Source organism: Homo sapiens, chromosome 17, assembly GCF_000001405.40.
Source record: "Homo sapiens chromosome 17, GRCh38.p14 Primary Assembly".
Classification (NCBI taxonomy): Eukaryota; Metazoa; Chordata; class Mammalia; order Primates; family Hominidae; genus Homo; species Homo sapiens.
Window position 1 is genome coordinate 42,825,249 of NC_000017.11, and position 18,967 is coordinate 42,844,215.

Consider the following 18,967-nt stretch of genomic DNA (forward strand, 5'->3'; position numbering starts at 1 on the left):
AGAGGCTGGTGTGGCTAGAAGATGGGCAACGAAAAGAGATACAGAAAATGGGGTGAGGGAGGTAAGAGTGTTGAGCTACCACCTAGGCTCTTATAGGGATTGTAAAGCTCTGGCTTTCACTTTGAATGAGATGAGATGACTGGGTCTTGAGCAGAGGGACTTACTTCATTTTTAAAAACAACTTTATGGGGTATAATTTACATACCATAAGACTCACACTTTTTAAATGTACAGTTCAATAATTTTTAGTAAATTTACACAGTTGCCCAACTATCACCATAATCCAGTTTTAGAACATTTCCCATCTCCCCTTGCAATCCCCCACTGTGGCCTCCCAAAGTGCTGAGATTACAGGTGTGAGCCAATGTGCCTGGCCAAAAGTTTTTCATTTCAATAAAGTCCAATGTTTATGCTTTTGGTGTAAAAGAAACCACTGCTTAACCCAAAATTGTATGTAGTATTGTCTATTTTATTTTTATTTTGAGACAGTGTCTTACTCTGTTACCCAGGCTGGAGTGAAGCGGAACAAACAAACATGGCTCACTGCAGATTTGACTTCCTGGCTCAAGCAATCCTCTTGCTTCAACCTCCAGTGTAGCAGGGACCACAGGTGATCACTACCATGCCCAGCTAATTTTTAAAATTTTTTGTAGAGATGTGGTCTCACACTGCACTCCAGCCTCGGTGACAGAGCGAGACGCCATCTCAAAAAAAAAAAGAGATGGGGTCTCACTTTGTTGCCCAGGCTTCTGCTTTTTAAATTTAACATTTTTCTATGTTGCTACACAGTTATTGTAGTTATCATGGCTACATTACACTACACTAAATGTACTGCCTTAGTGTATTTTTTTACCGCTGGAAATTCTACTATTTCCCCTGTGGGTGATTACAATAATCCTGCAATGAAGAGCTGGCTACTTATGATAGAGACTCATAACTGGGACTACAGAATTAAGAGTGTGTCAGCTATTTAATGTCTCTTCCTTAACACTGGGAATCATTTTCCAAAGTGCTTGCACATAACTATATTCTGCTTCCAGTAATGTATGAGGAAGCCTGTTTTCATATTGCCTTGGCCAGTATTGGGTATCATATATTTGGGGAACAAAAGCAAAAAATGGCACTTCCTTGTTATTTTAATTAGCATCATTGATTGCTGGTAAGGCTGAACTTTTTGCTATGTATTTGCTTATTGTAGTTACTTTTTTTTTTTTTTTTGAGATGGAGTCTTGCTCTGTTGCCCAGGCTGGAGTGCAGTGGTGCCATCTCGGCTCACTGCAACCTCTGCCTCCTGGGTTCACGCCATTCTCCTGTCTCAGCCTCCCGAGTAGCTGGGACTACAGGCGCCCACCACTACACCCGGCTAATTTTTTATATTTTTAGTGGAGACGGTTTCACCATGTTAGCCAGGATGGTCTCAATCTCCTGACCTCCTGATCTGCCCGCCTTGGCCTCCCAAAGTGCTGGGATTACAGGTGTGAGCCACCATGCCCGGCCTTTTTTTAAAAAAAAAAAAAAAAAGAGACACGGTCTCACTCTGTCACCCAGGCTGGAGTGCAGTGGTGCAATATCAGCTCACTGGAATCTCCGCCTCCCGGGCTCAAGCAGTAGTTACTTTTTTCTGAATTATGTTTGCATTCTTTGATTATTTAGGTATTGGATTATTAGTATTTTTCTCAGTATTTTTAGTAATTTTTCATGAATGCTTTAATTATTTTCCAGATGTTCAGGAAGTTTTAAATTTTCAAGTCAAATCTGCTTATTTTTCTTGATGACTTATACTGCTTAGAAAGTTATTCCCACCTCCAGAAGTGTCTTTCTTTTCTTTTAAATGTATGTGGTTTCTTATAGTTGGTATTGGATGTGATATGTGGAACTAGATTGATTTTTCTCCCGGTTTTGTGACTAGGGATAGTGTTTACAATCCTTCTTCCTCTTGGCTCTTTCAGCATGAAAGCCCCTTTAGGGGAGGTGACTGGAATCATCCCCAAAGAATTCTCACCTAGTCCTGGTGTGGCTGCTTCATAGTCCTGCGTTTCTTCCTGCTTGGCTGTCCCTAACATCTCAGAAACGCATAGAGAAGTAACGGGCTTCTAGAGAGGTAGGGGGTATAGTGTTACAACTGAGGATTTGGAAGTTGAGACCACCTGGTTCTTTACCATCCACTAACCATGTGACCTTATGCAATTTATTCAACTGTTCTGTGCTTTGTTTTCTTATTTACAAAATGAGATTAATAGTATACAGTAGTAAATATCATAAAGGGTAGTGTGATAAATGAGCTGATACATTTGGAATGGAGGGGAATGACTGTTACATAGTGAATGCTCTGTGTATCCTCACACTTGGGAAGTATATGTAATCAGTGTATGTAGTGCTTGAGGGATTGTGAATAATACACAACATATCCTCAGTCATCGATTCAACAGATGTTTATTGAGCATCTACTATGTGCCAGTCCCTATTCTAGGTCTGAGAGGATATACTGGTGAACTGCTCTAATAGTTTATATTCCAGAGGAGAGAATTTGACAGTAAACATGTAACCAAGTTAATAAGATAATTTCAGATAATGGCAGATATTATGGGTTGAATGATGTCCCCCAAAAGATGTTGAAGTCCTAACATCTGGGACTAACACATGGGAATGTGACCTTTTTTGGAAATAGGATCGTTGCAGATGAGGTCATTGATGTTAGCCCTAGACCAATATGACTGCGTCCTTATAAATAGGGGCAATCTGGACACAGAGACAGACATGTACCGTGTCTGAGGGAAGATGATGTAAAGAGACACAGGGTGATCTGTAAGCCAAGGAAGACCTGAGGCTACCAAAAGCCAGGAAAGAGGTCTGGAACAGATACTTCTCTGGCTCCCTTAGAAGGAACATGGTCCTGCTGACACCTTAATTTTGGATTTCTGGCATCCAGAACTCTGAGACAATATATTTCTTTGGTTCTAAGCCATCCACTTTGTGGTACTTTGCTACAGCAGCCCTAGAAAGCTAATACAGTAGGTAAGAAGGTGATGTGATAGAGAGTAAGTGGGGGCAGGGTGGGAGGAGCTGCTTCAACTGGGGGATTCAGGAAGGCCTATGTTATCTGGAAACCACTGAGGGTGGTAAGTAGGGAAGAGACTTGACTGGCTGACTTAAAAAGAAACTATTTACGGGGGGATAGAATACATAGGGGAAAAGACACAAATCATACATGTATTTTCAATGAATTTTTACAAAATGAACACGTCAATGTAACCAGTACCCAACTCCCTCTCCCATGCCACCCTCTAATTGATGCCCACCCTAAGGGCAAACAATATTGTCAATTCTAACACCCTAGATTGAGTTTTGACTGTTTTTTGAATTTCATGTAAATGGAATCATACATGACATACTCTTGTTTCCTTTCGCTCATCATGAGATTCACCCACCTTGTGTAGTTTTAGTTCATACATTCTCAATACTTTGTAGTATTCCATTGTGTGACTATATTAAAATATAGATATCTCTCTTGCTGTTAAGAGGCATCTGGGTAGTTTCCAGTTTGGTCTATTGTGAATAGTGTTGCTATGAACATTCTTGTTCATGTCTTTTGGTGAATATATTTATGCATTTCTCTTGGGTGGGTCCCTAGAGTTGAGGTTTCTGGGATCTCTCTCTCTCTCTTTCTCTTTCTCTCTCTCTCTTTAGGTATATTCAGCTTGAGTAGATGCTACCATCTCTGTGGCTGACATATTAGCAGATTATTTTGAGCTGGCCTGGTGTGCACCTGTAATCCCAGCTCCTCAGGAGGCTGAGGCGGGAGGATCACTTGAGCCAGGAGTTCGAGACCAACTTGGACAACATAGCAAGACCCTGTCTCAGTCAGTCAATCAATCAATGATAAATTTTGGTGCTGAGTGAAGAACAGAATGTGACAGTTGGTGGGGGGTGGCAAGAGTGGAAATGGAGAGACCAGATAGGAGCCTATTGTAATAGTCCTAGCAAAGGATGACAGTGGCTTTGGCCAGGGTAACAAGAGATGGAGGAAAGCACACTCATACAGGATGCATTATACAGGGAAAGCTGACAGGACCTGCTGATGGGTTGAATGTGGAGAGACGAGGAAAAGAGAGGAATCAAGGTTGACTGTTAGGTTTTTGGTTTGAACAACTAGGTGGACAGTTATGTCAATTACTGAGATGGAGAAGAATAGGAAAATAACAGGTGTGTGGGAGAATCAAGAATTCTGGTTTGGCCATGTTAAGTTTGATATGCTCATTAGGTTTCCAAGTAGAAACATCAAATAGATGGTTAGAACTCAGTGAAGATGTCAGATGGGAGATACGAATCTGGGGCCCTCAAATCAGCATACAGATTTTTTTTTTTTTTTTTTTTTTTGAGATGGAGTTTCGCTCTTGTTGCCCAGGCTGGAGTGCAATGGCGCGATCTCGGCTCACCGCAACCTCCACCTCCCCAGTTCAAGTGATTCTCCTGCCTCAGCCTCCCGAGTAGCTGGGATTACAGGCATGTACCACCACGCCCAGCTAATTTTGTATTTTTAGTAGAGACGGGGTTTCTCCATGTTCAGGCTAGTCTCGAACTCCCAACCTCAGGTGATCTGCCTGCCTTGGCCTCTCAAAGTGCTGGGATTACAGGCATTAGCCCCCGTGCGTGTCTGGCCGAATACAGATGATACTTAAAGCTATGAACATGCATAGATCCTCTTTTTTTTTTTTTTTTTTTTGAGACGGAGTCTCGCTCTGTCGCCCAGGCTGGAGTGCAGTGGCGCGATCTCAGCTCACTGCAAGCTCTGCCTCCCAGGTTCACGCCATTCTCCTGCCTCAGCCTCCTGAGTAGCTGGGACTACAGGCGCCCGCCACCACGCCCGGCTAATTTTTTGTATTTTTGGTAGAGACGGGGTTTCACCGTGTTAGCCAGGATGGTCTCTATCTCCTGACCTCGTGATCCACCCGCCTCGGCCTCCCAAAGTGCTGGGATTACAGGCGTGAGCCACCGCGCCTGGCCGAACATGCATAGATCCTCTTAGGGAGAAAGTGTAAGCAGAGAATAAAGGACCTAAGTCTCCTGAAGCATGCCACCATTAAGAAGTGGAGCAGAGGAGGAAGAGCCAGCAAAGGAAATGGGGAATCACTGTTGAGGCTGGAGAAAGATCAGAACAGGTTGCTGTGTGTATTTTAAGAAGGGGAGTGGCTAATATATTGAGTACTACTGAGAGATTCAAATAAGATGAGAGGTGACCACTGGTGTCAACATGGTAGTCATTGGTAACCTAACAAAAATTATATCAGTGAGAAAGTGGGGTTGAGAAGTCTGATTAGAGTGGATTGGAGTAAATGGGGCATGAGGAAGTAGAGTAAGAGACAATAAATAATTCAAGAAGTCTTGCCAGGAAGGAGAGCACAGAAAGGGAGTAACAGCTACAGAGGAATCTGGATTCGGGGGGGAGTTTTCTCAAGATAGGGGATATTGGTTATGTCTGGAAATGACCCAGCAGAGGATGTGATGTAGGAAAAAGAGGGGCTAATCATGGGCACAGACATGGGATTGAGAAAGTCAAAGGGGATGGAATCCAAAGCACAAAAGGAAGAGATAGGAACAGGTTTGTTTCCTTCAATGAAAGAGGAAAGGCAGAAAGTATTTTGCAGATTGGCAGATTTGGTGGTGAGATGATGAGGTAGTTCTCATCTGCTTCTGTTTTCTCAATAAAGAATGAGCCCAGGCCATAAGTTGGAGGTGGGAGAGAAGGAATACTGGAGGTTCAGGGAGATGAGAAAGTATGATAGTCATTGGGAGGGTGGGAGAGCAAACTTGTCAGGAGCATGTAGTAGGAGCTCAGGCAGTGTTGTGCACTCATTTGAGATTTTGGGACATGAATTTAAAATTAGACCAGTCATCAGTGATCACATGTGACTTGTAAGCACCCAGAAATGAATAGTTATTGTTAAGTGTAGTGGTACTCTCCAGTTGTTCACTGAATAAACAAATGAATGGAGTATTATATTAAACACTTGGATGGGGAGGAGGAAGGGAAATAAAGAGAATGTGTATCTGTCTTATAACCTACTTGAAGGAGACAAAACATAATTATTTGAGAACAAAGCATATTTTAACAGGCACAAACATATTAGCTTTTCCAGTTGATGTTATAAATTCTGACTGGAATAAGAATAGTGGCATACTTAAAATAGAATGGAGTAAATGTGGGAAATAATTCCTGAAGTTTCAAATCGGATCTCAAAAGTTCCCAGGGAAATGTGTTAACAGAAAACATGTAAAAGGGGGAAAACTGATAGAGCATGATGTTATATGTGGCCTTCTATAAGCTGAAAAGGACTTTGAGCTTGAAAGCAGGAATGGAAATAATTACTGTAATTTAAGGAGTAACCTCTTCATGCTAAGCATTAACAGATCACTTACTTACCTGACAGTGGCTACTATTTATTTTGTGTCTAAGCACTGTGCTAATTGTTTTACATATATTATTTCTAATATTCACAACACTACAAAATTACATACTATTATTTATTACTAATTATTAAAATTCCATCTTACAGATGAGGGAATCGAGACTCAGCATTTCAATAATTTGCCCAAGATTCCAGTTAGTAAGGAGCTGAGGTGGGATTTGAAGCCCAGGTCTCTGATCCCAAAGGCCATAGTCAGTCTTCTGTGCTTTACTCCATTTAATTGTGTATTCCCCTCATTTTCCTAGCACTTAGTAGAGAGGCCAGCCTAGGATAAATGTTCAACAGCAAGAGCGACCCCAAAATACAAATCTGATGACCTCCTTTTGCACTTAATCTAGATTGTTTACTAACAACCCTCCTCACCCTCAGCTCACTAGTCTTTGTCTTCAAGACAATCTCTTTCCTTCCCTAGAGCATTTGCCTGAGCTGCCCTTATACCTCTCAAGGCTCTTCTCACTCTTTCCATGCTAACCTCTTTATATCCTTTAGATCACAGCTTGCCTGTTCAGAGGCCTTCCTTGGCCATTCGATCTAAAATAGATCTCTCGTATTTTCTATGTCATCCACTTTTTCCCTAACATTTATCAAATTTTGCAGTTACCTTGTCAGTTTACTTTCTGGTGTTTTTCCAATATTATGCCCCATGGGACCAGCGACCTTGAATCTTGTTTGCCTTTGATTTCCCAGAGCTGTGCTCTTCAATACAGAAGCCAGCAGCCACATGTGGCTACTGAGCACTGTACTACAAATGTGGTGTTGCCTTATTGAGATGTGCAGTTAAGTGTAAAATACGCACTGGATTTTGAAGACTTGGTATGAGAAAAGAATGCATAAGATCTCGATTTTTAAATGTTGATTACATGTTGAAATACTTGTATAAACTGGGTTAAATGTATGACTAAAATTTTCACTTGTTTTACTTTTTAATTGTGGCTACTAGAAGATTTCAACCTACATATGTGACTCACATATTTCTAGAATCTGACACAGTGCCCTGCCCCATTTTATTGAATGATATATCCAATGTCGAGAGAGAGAGATCGAATGAATGGGTGCATGAAGAGGTATAGTCTCATGCTTCCACTAGGCAAATAGATACAGCACTGCCGTAGAAGTTAGGAGATCTGGGTTCTGGCTCAGGATGTACTGGAAACGCCTTGGACAAGCCCTACCCTACTCTGGGGATCAATTTGCCAATTAGGTAGTTGATCTTTGAGGTCTGGAAGCTTACGAGAATCAGTTGGCAGGGAAATGTACCAGGAAAGCTTGGTACAACGGCGCTTGTCTTTTTCGCTCTAGCCTAAACACTTGAGCCTCGGCAAACGGGCAGAGGCAGCGGGAATCAGGGACTACACCCCCGAACCCAGTACCCGGGTCCCCGACTTCCCCGAGCCTACGTCACTGGGGCGCGACGGCGTTGTCCCCGGGAGTGCAGCGGCTGAGAAGGTCCCTTCGGTGAAGGCGAGTTCCGGGACAACAGAGAGGGCCGCACCGTTTCCGAGTCTCTCGGAGGCTCAGTTCTCAGCGCACCATTCCCCACAGCTCTCCTTTTTACTTTACCCCTACCCGACACTTGACCCCGGCAGTGTGAACCCCGCTGGGAGCGTCCAAAGCCATGCCTCATCGCGGCTGCGCAGCGCACGTGCACAGCCTCGCAGGAGTCTCGGCGATTGGCTGTGACGCAGTTTCCGGCGTGAGCGGCGAAAGCCGGGAGGGCGAGCGAGAGAGCAAGCAGGCAGCAGGCTGCCGGCGGGCGGGCGGACGGCACAGAGGGAGGGAGCGAGCGAGCAGTGAGTAAGCCAGCAAGGGCGGTCGGGTCCCGAGGTCAGCCGAGATTTCTCAGGTCCCTCCGGCCCCCTCCCTGGAGTCCACAGCGCCTCCGGTGTCCAGAGGATCGGACACGGCCCGGCCCGGCCATGGCCTCGTTGCTGAAGGTGGATCAGGAAGTGAAGCTCAAGGTAGCGGCACCGGTCCGGCCTTTTTGCCCCTCGCTTTGATCCCCCAGCAGTCTGACCGGCTTCCTACTCCCCATGGCGTCTTTGTCTCCCTGGGGATACCAGCTCTGAGCTTCCGCTCGGCTCAGCCCAGCCCCCAACTCCCGGGGTCGGCTTCGCGGGAGAGGAAAATATAGGATGGCTTTCTGTACCGCGTCTGATGATGGAGAGTCCCGGGGACACCTCCGCGGACACGTGTTGGACTCAGGGCTTTAGGCCCGTGACAGCTGGTAATCCCCCAGCCCAACAACGTCCCTGGACACTGCCCCTGCCCTTGGCGGCTGGCCTGCCTAGTATCATAGACTAGGTCTGGGTGGGGGTTGGCACGTTTGTGAGCTCACATCTTCCCTAACTACCTGTCTTTTGTCTGCTTATCAAATTCAGACAGCTTCAGACACAGGAGGAAGGGAGGGAAGGGGGAGGACAGAGGAGACAGGCAGGTGCTGTCCTCAAAGCCCTGCGTTCTTCTGAGATGGAAAAATGGATCCTCAAAAAAATAAAGTATTTGCAGTCTGGGGGCCTCTCAGCTTCTTATTACAGTTACAAGGTGAGGGAAAGACAGTTGGATTGGGATTCTCCATCCTGCTCTTACCTCTGTCCCCAGGTACTGAATTGCTCTCTTTGTTAATTTTAGGTTGATTCTTTCAGGGAGCGGATCACAAGTGAGGTGAGTGAAATAAATAGAAAAATGGTTGTTGGTTGAGAATTTCCCAAAGAGGAGATACCTGGAGAGAGAGAGAGAGAGAGAGAGAGAGAGAGACCTTCCCACAGATATTAATTCAGCTGTATTTTCCCTCTTCCTTAGGCAGAAGACTTGGTGGCAAATTTTTTCCCAAAGAAGTTATTAGAACTTGATAGTTTTCTGAAGGTGAGAGACCCTATTCTTTCCTCAAATTCCCCAATTTTTTTGGCCCTGGTATTACTGTCAACTGGGATAAACTGTTGATTCTTCTTCTTTTTATTTTTTTAAACTGTAAAAGCACTTTCATTTCTTGCTCTTCAAATCAAATACTTCTTTGTTCAGCTTGAAAAGATTAATGTTTTGGGGTGGGTGTCTTTCAGGAACCAATCTTAAACATCCATGACCTAACTCAGATCCACTCTGACATGAATCTCCCAGTCCCTGACCCCATTCTTCTCACCAATAGCCATGATGGACTGGATGGTGTAAGTGTCCTATATTTATCTTTGTGTTCTTGAGCAGTAGGTCCTCTGTCCTCTGTTTCCTTGTCAGTTTAAGATGTACAGAGGGAACAGTGGGATTTGGATCTGGGAACTAGGACTCTGTTACAGACATGATGACTCTAGTATAGTTCTTTTATTTCTTATTTATTTATTTATTTTTGAGAAAGGGTGTCACTTTTTTTGCCCAAGCTGGAGTGTAGTGGCGGGAATGCTGCTCACTGCAGCCTTGACCTCCCGAACTCAAGCGATCCTTCCTCCTCAGCCTCGCAGGTAGCTGGGACTACAGGAGTCCACCACCATGCCCACTGATTTTTGTATTTTTTGTAGAGATGGGGTTTCACCATGTTGCCCAGGCCGGTCTCAAACTCCTGAGCTCAAGTAATCCACCCGCCTCAGCGTCCCAAAGTGCTGGGATTACAGGCGTGAGTCACTGCACGGGGACTCCAGTATATTCCTTTTAGACCCTCAGTTTCATTTACGACGTGAAGTGAATGTGCTAATGCTACTGTCAGTGTTAGAGTGAGTTTCAAATAAAAGAGAACTAGCTTAGGCCAGGCACCTTGGCTCACGCCTGTAATCCCAGCACTTTGGGAGGCCGACGTGGACGGATCATGAGGTCAGGAGATCAAGACCATCCTGGCTAACACCGTGAAACCCTGTCTCTACTGAAAATACAAAAAATTAACTGGGTGTGGTTGTGGGCCCCTGTAGTCCCAGCTACTTCGGAGGCTGAGGCAGGAGAATGGCATGAACCCAGGAGGCGGAGCTTGCAGTGAGCTGAGATTGCGCCACTGTACTCCAGCCTGGGCGACAGAGCGAGACTCTGTCTCAAAAAAAAAAAAAGAGAACTAGCTTCATCAGGTTACCTGGTTTTTCCCATGGCTCTGAACAAGACTTTGCTTATATTTGTTTGCATGTCTTGAGTAGTGTTATGGGATATGCAGTTCTCGCTATGTAACTGCAATTGCTATCTTTGCTTTGCATCTCTAACACCTAGTCCTTATCAGTCATGTGTCCACATGCTACTATAACACTGATGATACCGTATTGTTGTCTGTAGTACTGCCTCATTGTTGAACTTGTACATCTGGAAGGCAGGAACTATCTTTTTTTTTTTTTTTTTTTCCTTGAGACAGAGTCTCACTCTGTTGCCTAGGCTGGGTGCAGTGGCGCGATCTCAGCTTACTGTAACCTCCGCCTCCCGGGTTCAAGTGATTCTCCCACCTCAGCCTCCCACGTAGCTGAGATTACAGGTGCACACCACCACGCCCAGCCAATTTTTTTATTTTTAGTGGAGACAGGGTTTCACCATGTTGTCCAGACTGGTCTCGAACTCCTGACCTCAGGTGATCCGCCCGCCTCAGCCTCCCAAAGTGCTGGGATTACAGCCATGAGCCATCGTGCTCGGCCGGCAGGAGCTATCTTAATCTTTGTATTCCCAGCACCTAGTGTTGATCCTGGTCCCTAGCAATTGCTGAATACATGTTTGTTAACTGAATAATGTGTTCCTTTGTGGAACCAGCAGATTTGTACGTATTCCCTTAATTATCTTCCCTGCTTTGATTGGTTCTTTTTTCCTATTCTTTATAATACTTAATGTATTGTGTTTCTGGAAAGATTGGTCTTCCCAACTAGAGCGTAATTTGCTTTGTGGTAAGAACCTTTTCTTTCTTTCTCTGAGGGGGAACCCAGTCTCACTCTGTCACCCAGGTTGGAGTGCAGTGGCTTAATCTCAGCTCACTGCAACCTCAAACTCCTGGGTTCAAGTGATCCTCCTACCTCAGCCTCCCAGGTAGCTGGGACTACAGGTACATGTGCCATCACATTCAGCTAGTTTTTGTATTTTTTGTGGAGACAGGGTTTCCCTATGTTGCCCAGGCTGGTCTCAAGCTCCTGAGCTCAAGCGATCTGTGTGCCTTGGCCTCCCAAAGTGCTGGGATTACAGGTGTGAGCCATGGCGCCCAGCCCAAGAACCTTTTCTTTATTTCCTTTTTTTTTTTTTTGAGGTGGAGTTTCACTCTTGTCACATAGGCTGGAGTGCAGTGGCACAATCTCGGCTCACTGCAACCTCTACCTCCCAGGTTCAAGCAATTCTCCTGCCTCAGCCTTCCGAGTAGATGGGATTACAGGTGCCTGCCACCACACCCGGCTAATTTTTTTTATTTTTATTTTTTGGAGATGGAGTCTTGCTCTGTTGCCCAGGCTGGAGTGCAGTGGTGCAATCTCGGCTCACTACAACCTCTGCTTCCTGGGTTCAAGCAGTTCTCTGCATCAGCCTCCCAAGTAGCTGGGATTATAGGTGCTTGCCACCACGCCCAGCTAATTTTTGTATTTTTAGTGGAGATGAGGTTTCACTGTCTTGGCCAGGCTGGTCTTGAACTCCTGACCTTGTGATCCACCTACCTTGGCCTCTTAAAGTGCTGGGATTACAGGCATGAACCACCGCGCCTGGCTAACTTTTTGTATTTTTAGTAGAGATGGGGTTTCACTATGTTGGCTAGGCTGGTCTCAAACTTCTGATCTCAGGTGATCTGTCCACCTCGGCCCCCCAAATTGCTGGGATTACAGGCATGAGCCACCGCGCCTTGCCTCCAATAACCTTTCTTAAAGCTTTGTATGTACTTAGGAAATTGTGCAGAAATTAATAACATAAGCTATGAGGCTGAGGAAGGGATTAAACTTGCTTGAAGGGTATCTTGTGATGGAGATGTGGGTGTCAAAACTAGGCTCATCCCTGCCTCTTTGTATCCTTAGCCCACTTATAAGAAGCGAAGGTTGGATGAGTGTGAAGAAGCCTTCCAAGGTAAGAGGCACCCTTACCTCACCTCCCCTCACCCCATCCCTGACTTGCAACCCTGAGAAGCAGGATGGATCTAGTGTTCTCCTGACCAGGAGGCAAGATCTAATCTTACTTCCCAGAGGTAGCATTCCCAGCTCCTCCAAACGTGCTTGTTATTGAGTGCTCTAAACCTGGTTTTCCAATAAACAGAGGATTTAAGACTTTTGTTATGTTTTAGACGCTCATCTGTAGTTCTTTTTTTCCATACATTCTCGTTGATTCTAATAGTGGTGTCATGGTAGGATTGTGACAAAGGCAGAGGTCATAGCATCTGATAGGTATAGGGAAAATGAGAGAGAGGCAGGGGATGCTGTGTCCTTCCCTCTTCCCTGATCATTTGACCTTCACATCTCTGCCAGGAACCAAGGTGTTTGTGATGCCCAATGGGATGCTGAAAAGCAACCAGCAGCTGGTGGACATTATTGAGAAAGTGAAACCTGAGATCCGGCTGTTGATTGAGAAATGTAACACGGTGAGGCACAGGCTGGTGACCTATGGGCCGGCCCCAAGTACCCCACCTGAAGTGCAAAAAACAGTGGATGTACGGGTGGTATGGGAATTGGCAGACTAGGTTTTTTTGAGTTTTTTTTTTGAGATGGGGTCTCGCTCCATCACCCAGGTTGGAGTGCAGTGGCGCCATCTCGGCTCACTGCAACCTCTGCCTCCTGGGTTCAAGTGATTCTCCTGCCTCAGCCTCCCGAGTAGCTGGGATTACAGGTACCTGCCAACACACCCAGCTACTTTTTGTATTTTTAGTAGAGACGGGGTTTCACCATTTTGGCCATGGTTAGCCAGGCTGGTCTCGAACTCCTGACCTCAGGTGATCCACCCGCTTCGGGGTCCCAAATTGCTGGGATTACCGGCATGAGCCACCATGCCTGGCCAGACTAGGTATTTTGACTTCTGTGTTCCTGGCATCTGGCTCCAGCCGTCTGAATTGTGTACTTCATGGCTTCAGCCTTCAGGCAAAGGTCCTCATATATGTTTTGACCTCCAGGTCAAAATGTGGGTACAGCTCCTGATTCCCAGGATAGAAGATGGAAACAACTTTGGGGTGTCCATTCAGGTAATGTACTTGAATTACATACTGGGAAGAGTGGCTTGGGAGATACTCTCATCTCCCCTGCGTTACCTTTTTTTCCTTTTTCTTTGGGGCTGCTGTGGATGACATGGAAGTGGCTTTTGATGCACCTGTTGTTTGTTTGTTTTAGGAGGAAACAGTTGCAGAGCTAAGAACTGTTGAGAGTGAAGCTGCATCTTATCTGGACCAGATTTCTAGGTAGGGCTGCTTGGGCTTGGCCGAGGCGTTGGGGGCTGATGAGGTGGTGGGCACCATCAAGGGTCTCCTGCATCTTCCTCCTCTTCTCTCTCTTTCCAGATATTATATTACAAGAGCCAAATTGGTTTCTAAAATAGCTAAATATCCCCATGTGGTAAGTAAGGGGTTTGTGGCCTGAGGGTGGAGGTGGCAGGATAGTGAAGAGTGACTGTTACTGGGAAGGAGCTGTCTGGAAACAATTGGGCTTTGGGGACTAGCTTTTTCCTGTACCCTCCTTGCAGGAGGACTATCGCCGCACCGTGACAGAGATTGATGAGAAAGAATATATCAGCCTTCGGCTCATCATATCAGAGCTGAGGAATCAATATGTGAGTAATCTCAGTCCTTGTCCATAGTTGCTGTGGCTTCTCTTAGTTCTGTTGAGAGTATTGTTAAAATTCTCTGAAGGGCTGAGATGAGGGTCTGAGGTAAAATGAATAGACCAAATTCTATTCATCACCTGAGTGTTGAGAACCATGAAGTCATCTAGCAGGGTATCTCTCTTTTTTCTACCTGAGTGGAGGGGTGTGCAGTACAATATGGTTAAGATATAGGTGTCAGAGTCAGACAGACTTAGGTTTGCAACCAGGCTCTACCTGTGTTGTGTGACCTCGAGCAAATTGTTCAAGCTTAAACTTCAATTTCTTCTTTAAAATGGGACTGGGCTGGGCGCAGTGGCTAATGCCTGTAATCCCACCACTTTGGGAGGCCAAGCCGGGTGGATCACCTGAGGTCAGGAGTTCGAGACCAGCCTGATCAACATGGCGAAAGCTCGTCTCTACTAAAAATACAAAATTAGCCGGGCCTGGTGGCACATGTCTGTAATCCCAGCTACTTGGGAGGCTGAGGCAGGAGAATCACTTGAACCCGGGAGTTGGAGGTTGCGGTGAGCCAAGATTGCTCCATTGCACTCCAGCCTGGGCAACAAGAGCGAAACTCCATCTCAAAAAAAAAATAAAAATAGGCTGTAATCCCAGCACTTTGGGAGGCCAAGGTGGGTGGATCACTTGAGGTCAGGAGTTCGAGACCAGCCTTACCAACATGGAAAAACCCCATCTTTACTAAAAAAAAAAAAAAAAAATTTAGCCGGGCGTGGCGGCACATGCCTTTAATCGTAGCTACTGAGGAGGCTGAGGCGGGAGAATTGCTTGAACCCGGGAGGCGGAGGTTGCAGTGAGCCGAGATTGCGCCACTGGACTCCAGCCTGGGCAACAAGAGCGAAACTCCGCCTCAAATAAAAATAAATAAAATAAAATAAAATGGGACTGAAGAGGCCGGGTGTGGTGGATCACACCTGTAATGCCAGCACTGTGGGAGGCTGAGGCAGGTGGATCACATGAGGTCAGGAGTTTTTGACCAGCCTGGCCAACATGGTGAAACCCCATCTCTACTGAAAATACAAAAAATTAGCTGGGCATGGTTGGCGGACCCCTGTAATCCCACCTAATCGGGAGGCTGAGGCAGGAGAATCGCTTGAACCCAAGAGGTGTAGGTTGCAGTGAGCCGAGATCGTGCCACTGTACTCCAGCCTGGGCAACAAGAGCAAAACTCCGTCTCAAAAAAAGAAAACAAAACTGAAGAGTACCTACTGCACAAAATTCATTCGCTTTTTTAAAATAAGTGAGATAACACATTGAAGGACCTGGTACAATTCTTACTATGTTAAGTGCACAATACATGTTAGTTGTTATTAGACACTTGGGGCCTTGGAAATACCCATTTATACCCAGTTGAAGTATAAGAGAGGTGGTGCTGCCACCCTGAATGCAGGCTCAAGTGAGATTAAAATTACAGTAAGTTGGCCGGGTGCAGTGGCTCACGCCTGTAACCCCAGCGCTTTGGGAGGCCGAGGCGGGCGGATCACGAGGTCAGGAGATCGAGACCATCCTGGCTAACATGGTGAAACCCCATCTGTACTAAAAATAAAAAAAATTAGCCGGGTGTGGTGGCAGGCGCCTGTAGTCCCAGCTACTCAGGTGGCTGAGGCAGGAGAATGGCATGAACCTGGGAGGCGGAGGTTGCAGTCAGCCGAGATCGCGCCATTGCACTCCAGCCTGAGCGATAGAGCAAGACCGTGTCTCAAAAAAAAAAAAAAAAAAAAATACAGTAAGTCTTCACTTAATGTTGTCCATAGGTTCTTAGAAACTGCGACTTTAAAAATGATGTATATCAAAACCAAGTTTTTTTTTCATTAACATTGTAACAAAATGACATCGAACAAAATGATGTTATTTGAAACCAGGTTATTTGAGGACCTTCTGTACTTGATTTGCTTACCTGCTGTACTTTAATTTCCTTCAAGTCGCAGTTGCTAAGAACCTATTGATGACATTAAGGACTTACCGTATGCAGATGATTGCTTGGGGATTTGTGAAGGGGTCTCTCATTTTCTTGATGAGGTAAGGGTTGTACAGATATGTGATTCCCCTGATCCCTCTTCTCTCAGGTCACTCTACATGACATGATCCTGAAAAATATCGAGAAGATCAAACGGCCCCGGAGCAGCAATGCAGAGACTCTGTACTGAGGCCAGGGCCAGGGCCAGGGGACTCTGTGAGTCTGGCTCAAGACCGACATTGCCTTGGTTTGTTACATGACTATCGTGATGGGGAAACTGGCTGGAAATAGTAATCACACCTCTCTGTTTTTAGTTAGAGTCTAATGAAACTCTCATCTAGTTCTGTGATGTGTTTACCTCTTTTTTCAGGCCTCAGGAACTCTTCTATTTCCTTCCCTAATACCCCACACCCAACCTGTCGTAATTTCTGGAGAACTCCAGGTTTGTGTGTGCAGGATGTTGGCACAAAAATACCTGTGTTTTCATTCTCCCCCTCTCTCCCTCCTGTGTCTTGCGCTTTATGTTTTCTTCCGTTTGATAATTAGTTGGTTAAAAGCTGAGGGAACCGGAAGGAAAGTGCTAGGTGTTTTTTAGGAACTAGGGTGGCGGGGGGACGAACTTCTCTTCCTCACATGAGGTTACTGTTTCTTTCCTCTGTGGGGCATTGGATCCTCCCACAGTTGCCCTGGTGATGACTTAGGGCTTCCCATCTGTGTACATCCCACTTTGAATCTTGATCGTGACAAGAAATACCTTAGGCCTTCAGTCAATTCCGAAGCTCCTTCAGTTGTTTTTATAATGGGCGTTTTCACATGCACATATGTGTATGCATGTATACGCCCATACAGACATGCACACACAGACTCCTACTCCATTAGCTAACATACCCTCCCTCTCCACAACCCCTGTCACATACCTTTCAGGAGGTGACAGTTGTCTTAGTTGTCATCTACCCAGACAAACGTCCTGGGCCCGTCCTCCCTCCTGATACTGTAGCCTCTTGGTACCCAGGGTGAGTTGGTGGAGAACAGAGAGATGAGAAGCAGAGGGCTTGGGGAAAGCCTGTTCCTCTCTGACTCAGCCCTTTTTGGCATTATTGCAAGAGCTTGACTCCTGGTTGCCTTTTCCCAGCCAGTTTTCAGTTGGGGTGAAGGTTTCTGCAAGTGTGAGGTCCAGATGCTGCTGCTCATGTTGGGCTTTCCTTTTGGGAACTATTTCTCTTTATTTATAGTGTCGGGCTTCCGGGGAAAGCAATCATTGGTGTGTATGTGTATGTGCATGCACACACGTGCATATACACATTTGTGTATGTGGAAATGTGCTGGGCAAGTCAAAACTATAGAAGAGTTGCCTCCTGTCTCTCGAATCTTCCAGAGATATCACTTAATTGTTAACAGCTTTTGTGTTAATCCCCTTCAGCCCCTAGCTCTTTTATTCTACCACGGCTGGAGAGTTGATACCTGCAGTCAGCCTGCCAGTGACTCTTAGTGTCTGTTTCTGACTTATTTTTCCTGTCTCTGTCTTCCAACCCCCAATAATATTTCCACCGGGGATGCATCATTTTTACTCCCAATATTCTGTAGAGAGGGAGTCAGGATGCTGTCTTCCCACGAATAGTACTCAGTAACAAACCAATTGCATTTTAGTTGGGCAGTGCTCCCACCCACCCTCCAGATCCCTTCCAGCTAAAACCCTTCCCCCTTCCCTCCATGTGTTTCTCAGTTTCCCGTTTCGTTTGTTGGACTGTTCCACTGCCCCTCCTCCTCACCCTATCACCCATGGATCGTAATGTAAAATTCTTTTACCATGTCAAGAAATTATTAAAAATACAGGTACTTTGACCTCTTTCTAAAGCCGCAGACCCTGGTGCAATGCTCTGGTGGCTAGGGATGTACTCATGCTCATATGTGTGCACGCTTGGACACCCACCTCCATGGACACCTAGCCACCCTGTTGTGTGTCCTTATGCCAGTTGAGCTGAATCTTTTCCCCAGTATAGTGGAAAGACTGAGGCTTCTGCCTACTGAGCAAGGTTGGGTGCTTCATTTGTGTTCAGTCTGAATTATGGGAAAGTTAGCTCTTCCCAGACCTAAGCTGCCTTCTCTCCCTACTTTCAGAAGATCCTAGTTCCTTCCTTCCCGAGTGATACCCATGAACTGCCAGTAGAGGCTGCTATCGTTCCATGTGTAAGGAATGAACTGGTTCAAGGCGCGTCCTACCCAGTCATTTTCTTTACCTTATACTAATTCTTCCTGAATAATGTCTTCAGTTTCTTGAGGAGACTCCTAGTTTTGGTTTTCAAATTACTTGGAGGGCTGCCTAGGAATCTATCTCCCTCTGAAATAAAGTTTCCTCATCTTCCACCTTGCAAGTAGCCTTCTGGTTTCCAATGATCCCCTCGTTGTCTCTGTAAAAAGAGTTTAAGGTCTTGAACAATGGAGGAGCAGCTGCTCTGTTCTGTTTCAGAGATGACTACCAAAAGCTAGCGGTTTGTGAGTGCCTCCCCTGTGCCAGGCTGTTAAGTACCTAATGTGCATGATCACATTTAATCTTCAGGAATCTATAGGATAGTTGTATCTATTTGTTACAGATGAGGACACTGAGACTCAGGATAAGTATTTCCGCTAAGGTTACACAGCTGAGGGAACTGGGATTGGTGGACAAACCTGATTACTAAGCCCAGGCCCTCAGCCACTCCACTGGTTGGAAATGGCCTGACTACAAATCAAGGGCTTGGCATTAGGCAACAAGTAGAATTCAGTGCTTACTGCTGAACATGGCAGTGAATCCTGGAGCTGTTGGGATGCAGTTCCTGCCAGGAGGTAG

The 18,967-nt window shown here is 45.6% G+C and overlaps 1 protein-coding gene across 6 annotated transcripts, besides 1 other annotated feature; it reads left to right on the forward strand.

The window, feature by feature from the left end:
* Positions 7,797-7,966: an enhancer, noted in NCBI's record as "active region_12227". NCBI's record gives its function as "activates an Ori minimal core promoter by ATAC-STARR-seq in GM12878 lymphoblastoid cells {active_cell/tissue: GM12878}" and the evidence as "EXISTENCE:reporter gene assay evidence [ECO:0000049][PMID:35858748]".
* PSME3 (proteasome activator subunit 3) lies at positions 8,149-18,512 on the forward strand. Of its 6 annotated transcripts, NM_001267045.2 has the most exons (13): positions 8,149-8,425; positions 8,528-8,691; positions 8,846-9,008; positions 9,096-9,128; positions 9,267-9,329; positions 9,524-9,628; positions 12,401-12,449; positions 12,845-12,957; positions 13,483-13,551; positions 13,697-13,764; positions 13,864-13,918; positions 14,046-14,132; positions 16,250-18,512. In NM_001267045.2, the coding sequence occupies exons 3-13, from the start codon at positions 8,934-8,936 to the stop codon at positions 16,328-16,330; spliced, it is 798 nt and encodes a 265-aa protein (NP_001253974.1). In that variant the 5' UTR covers positions 8,149-8,425; positions 8,528-8,691; positions 8,846-8,933; the 3' UTR covers positions 16,331-18,512. The 6 variants fall into 6 exon arrangements, 5 of the variants coding, with proteins under 5 accessions (NP_001253974.1, XP_047291052.1, NP_001317158.1 ...); XM_047435096.1 differs by having other exon boundaries at positions 8,149-8,691; NM_001330229.2 differs by lacking the exon at positions 8,846-9,008 and having other exon boundaries at positions 8,149-8,691.
* The last annotated feature ends 455 nt before the right edge of the window (positions 18,513-18,967 follow it).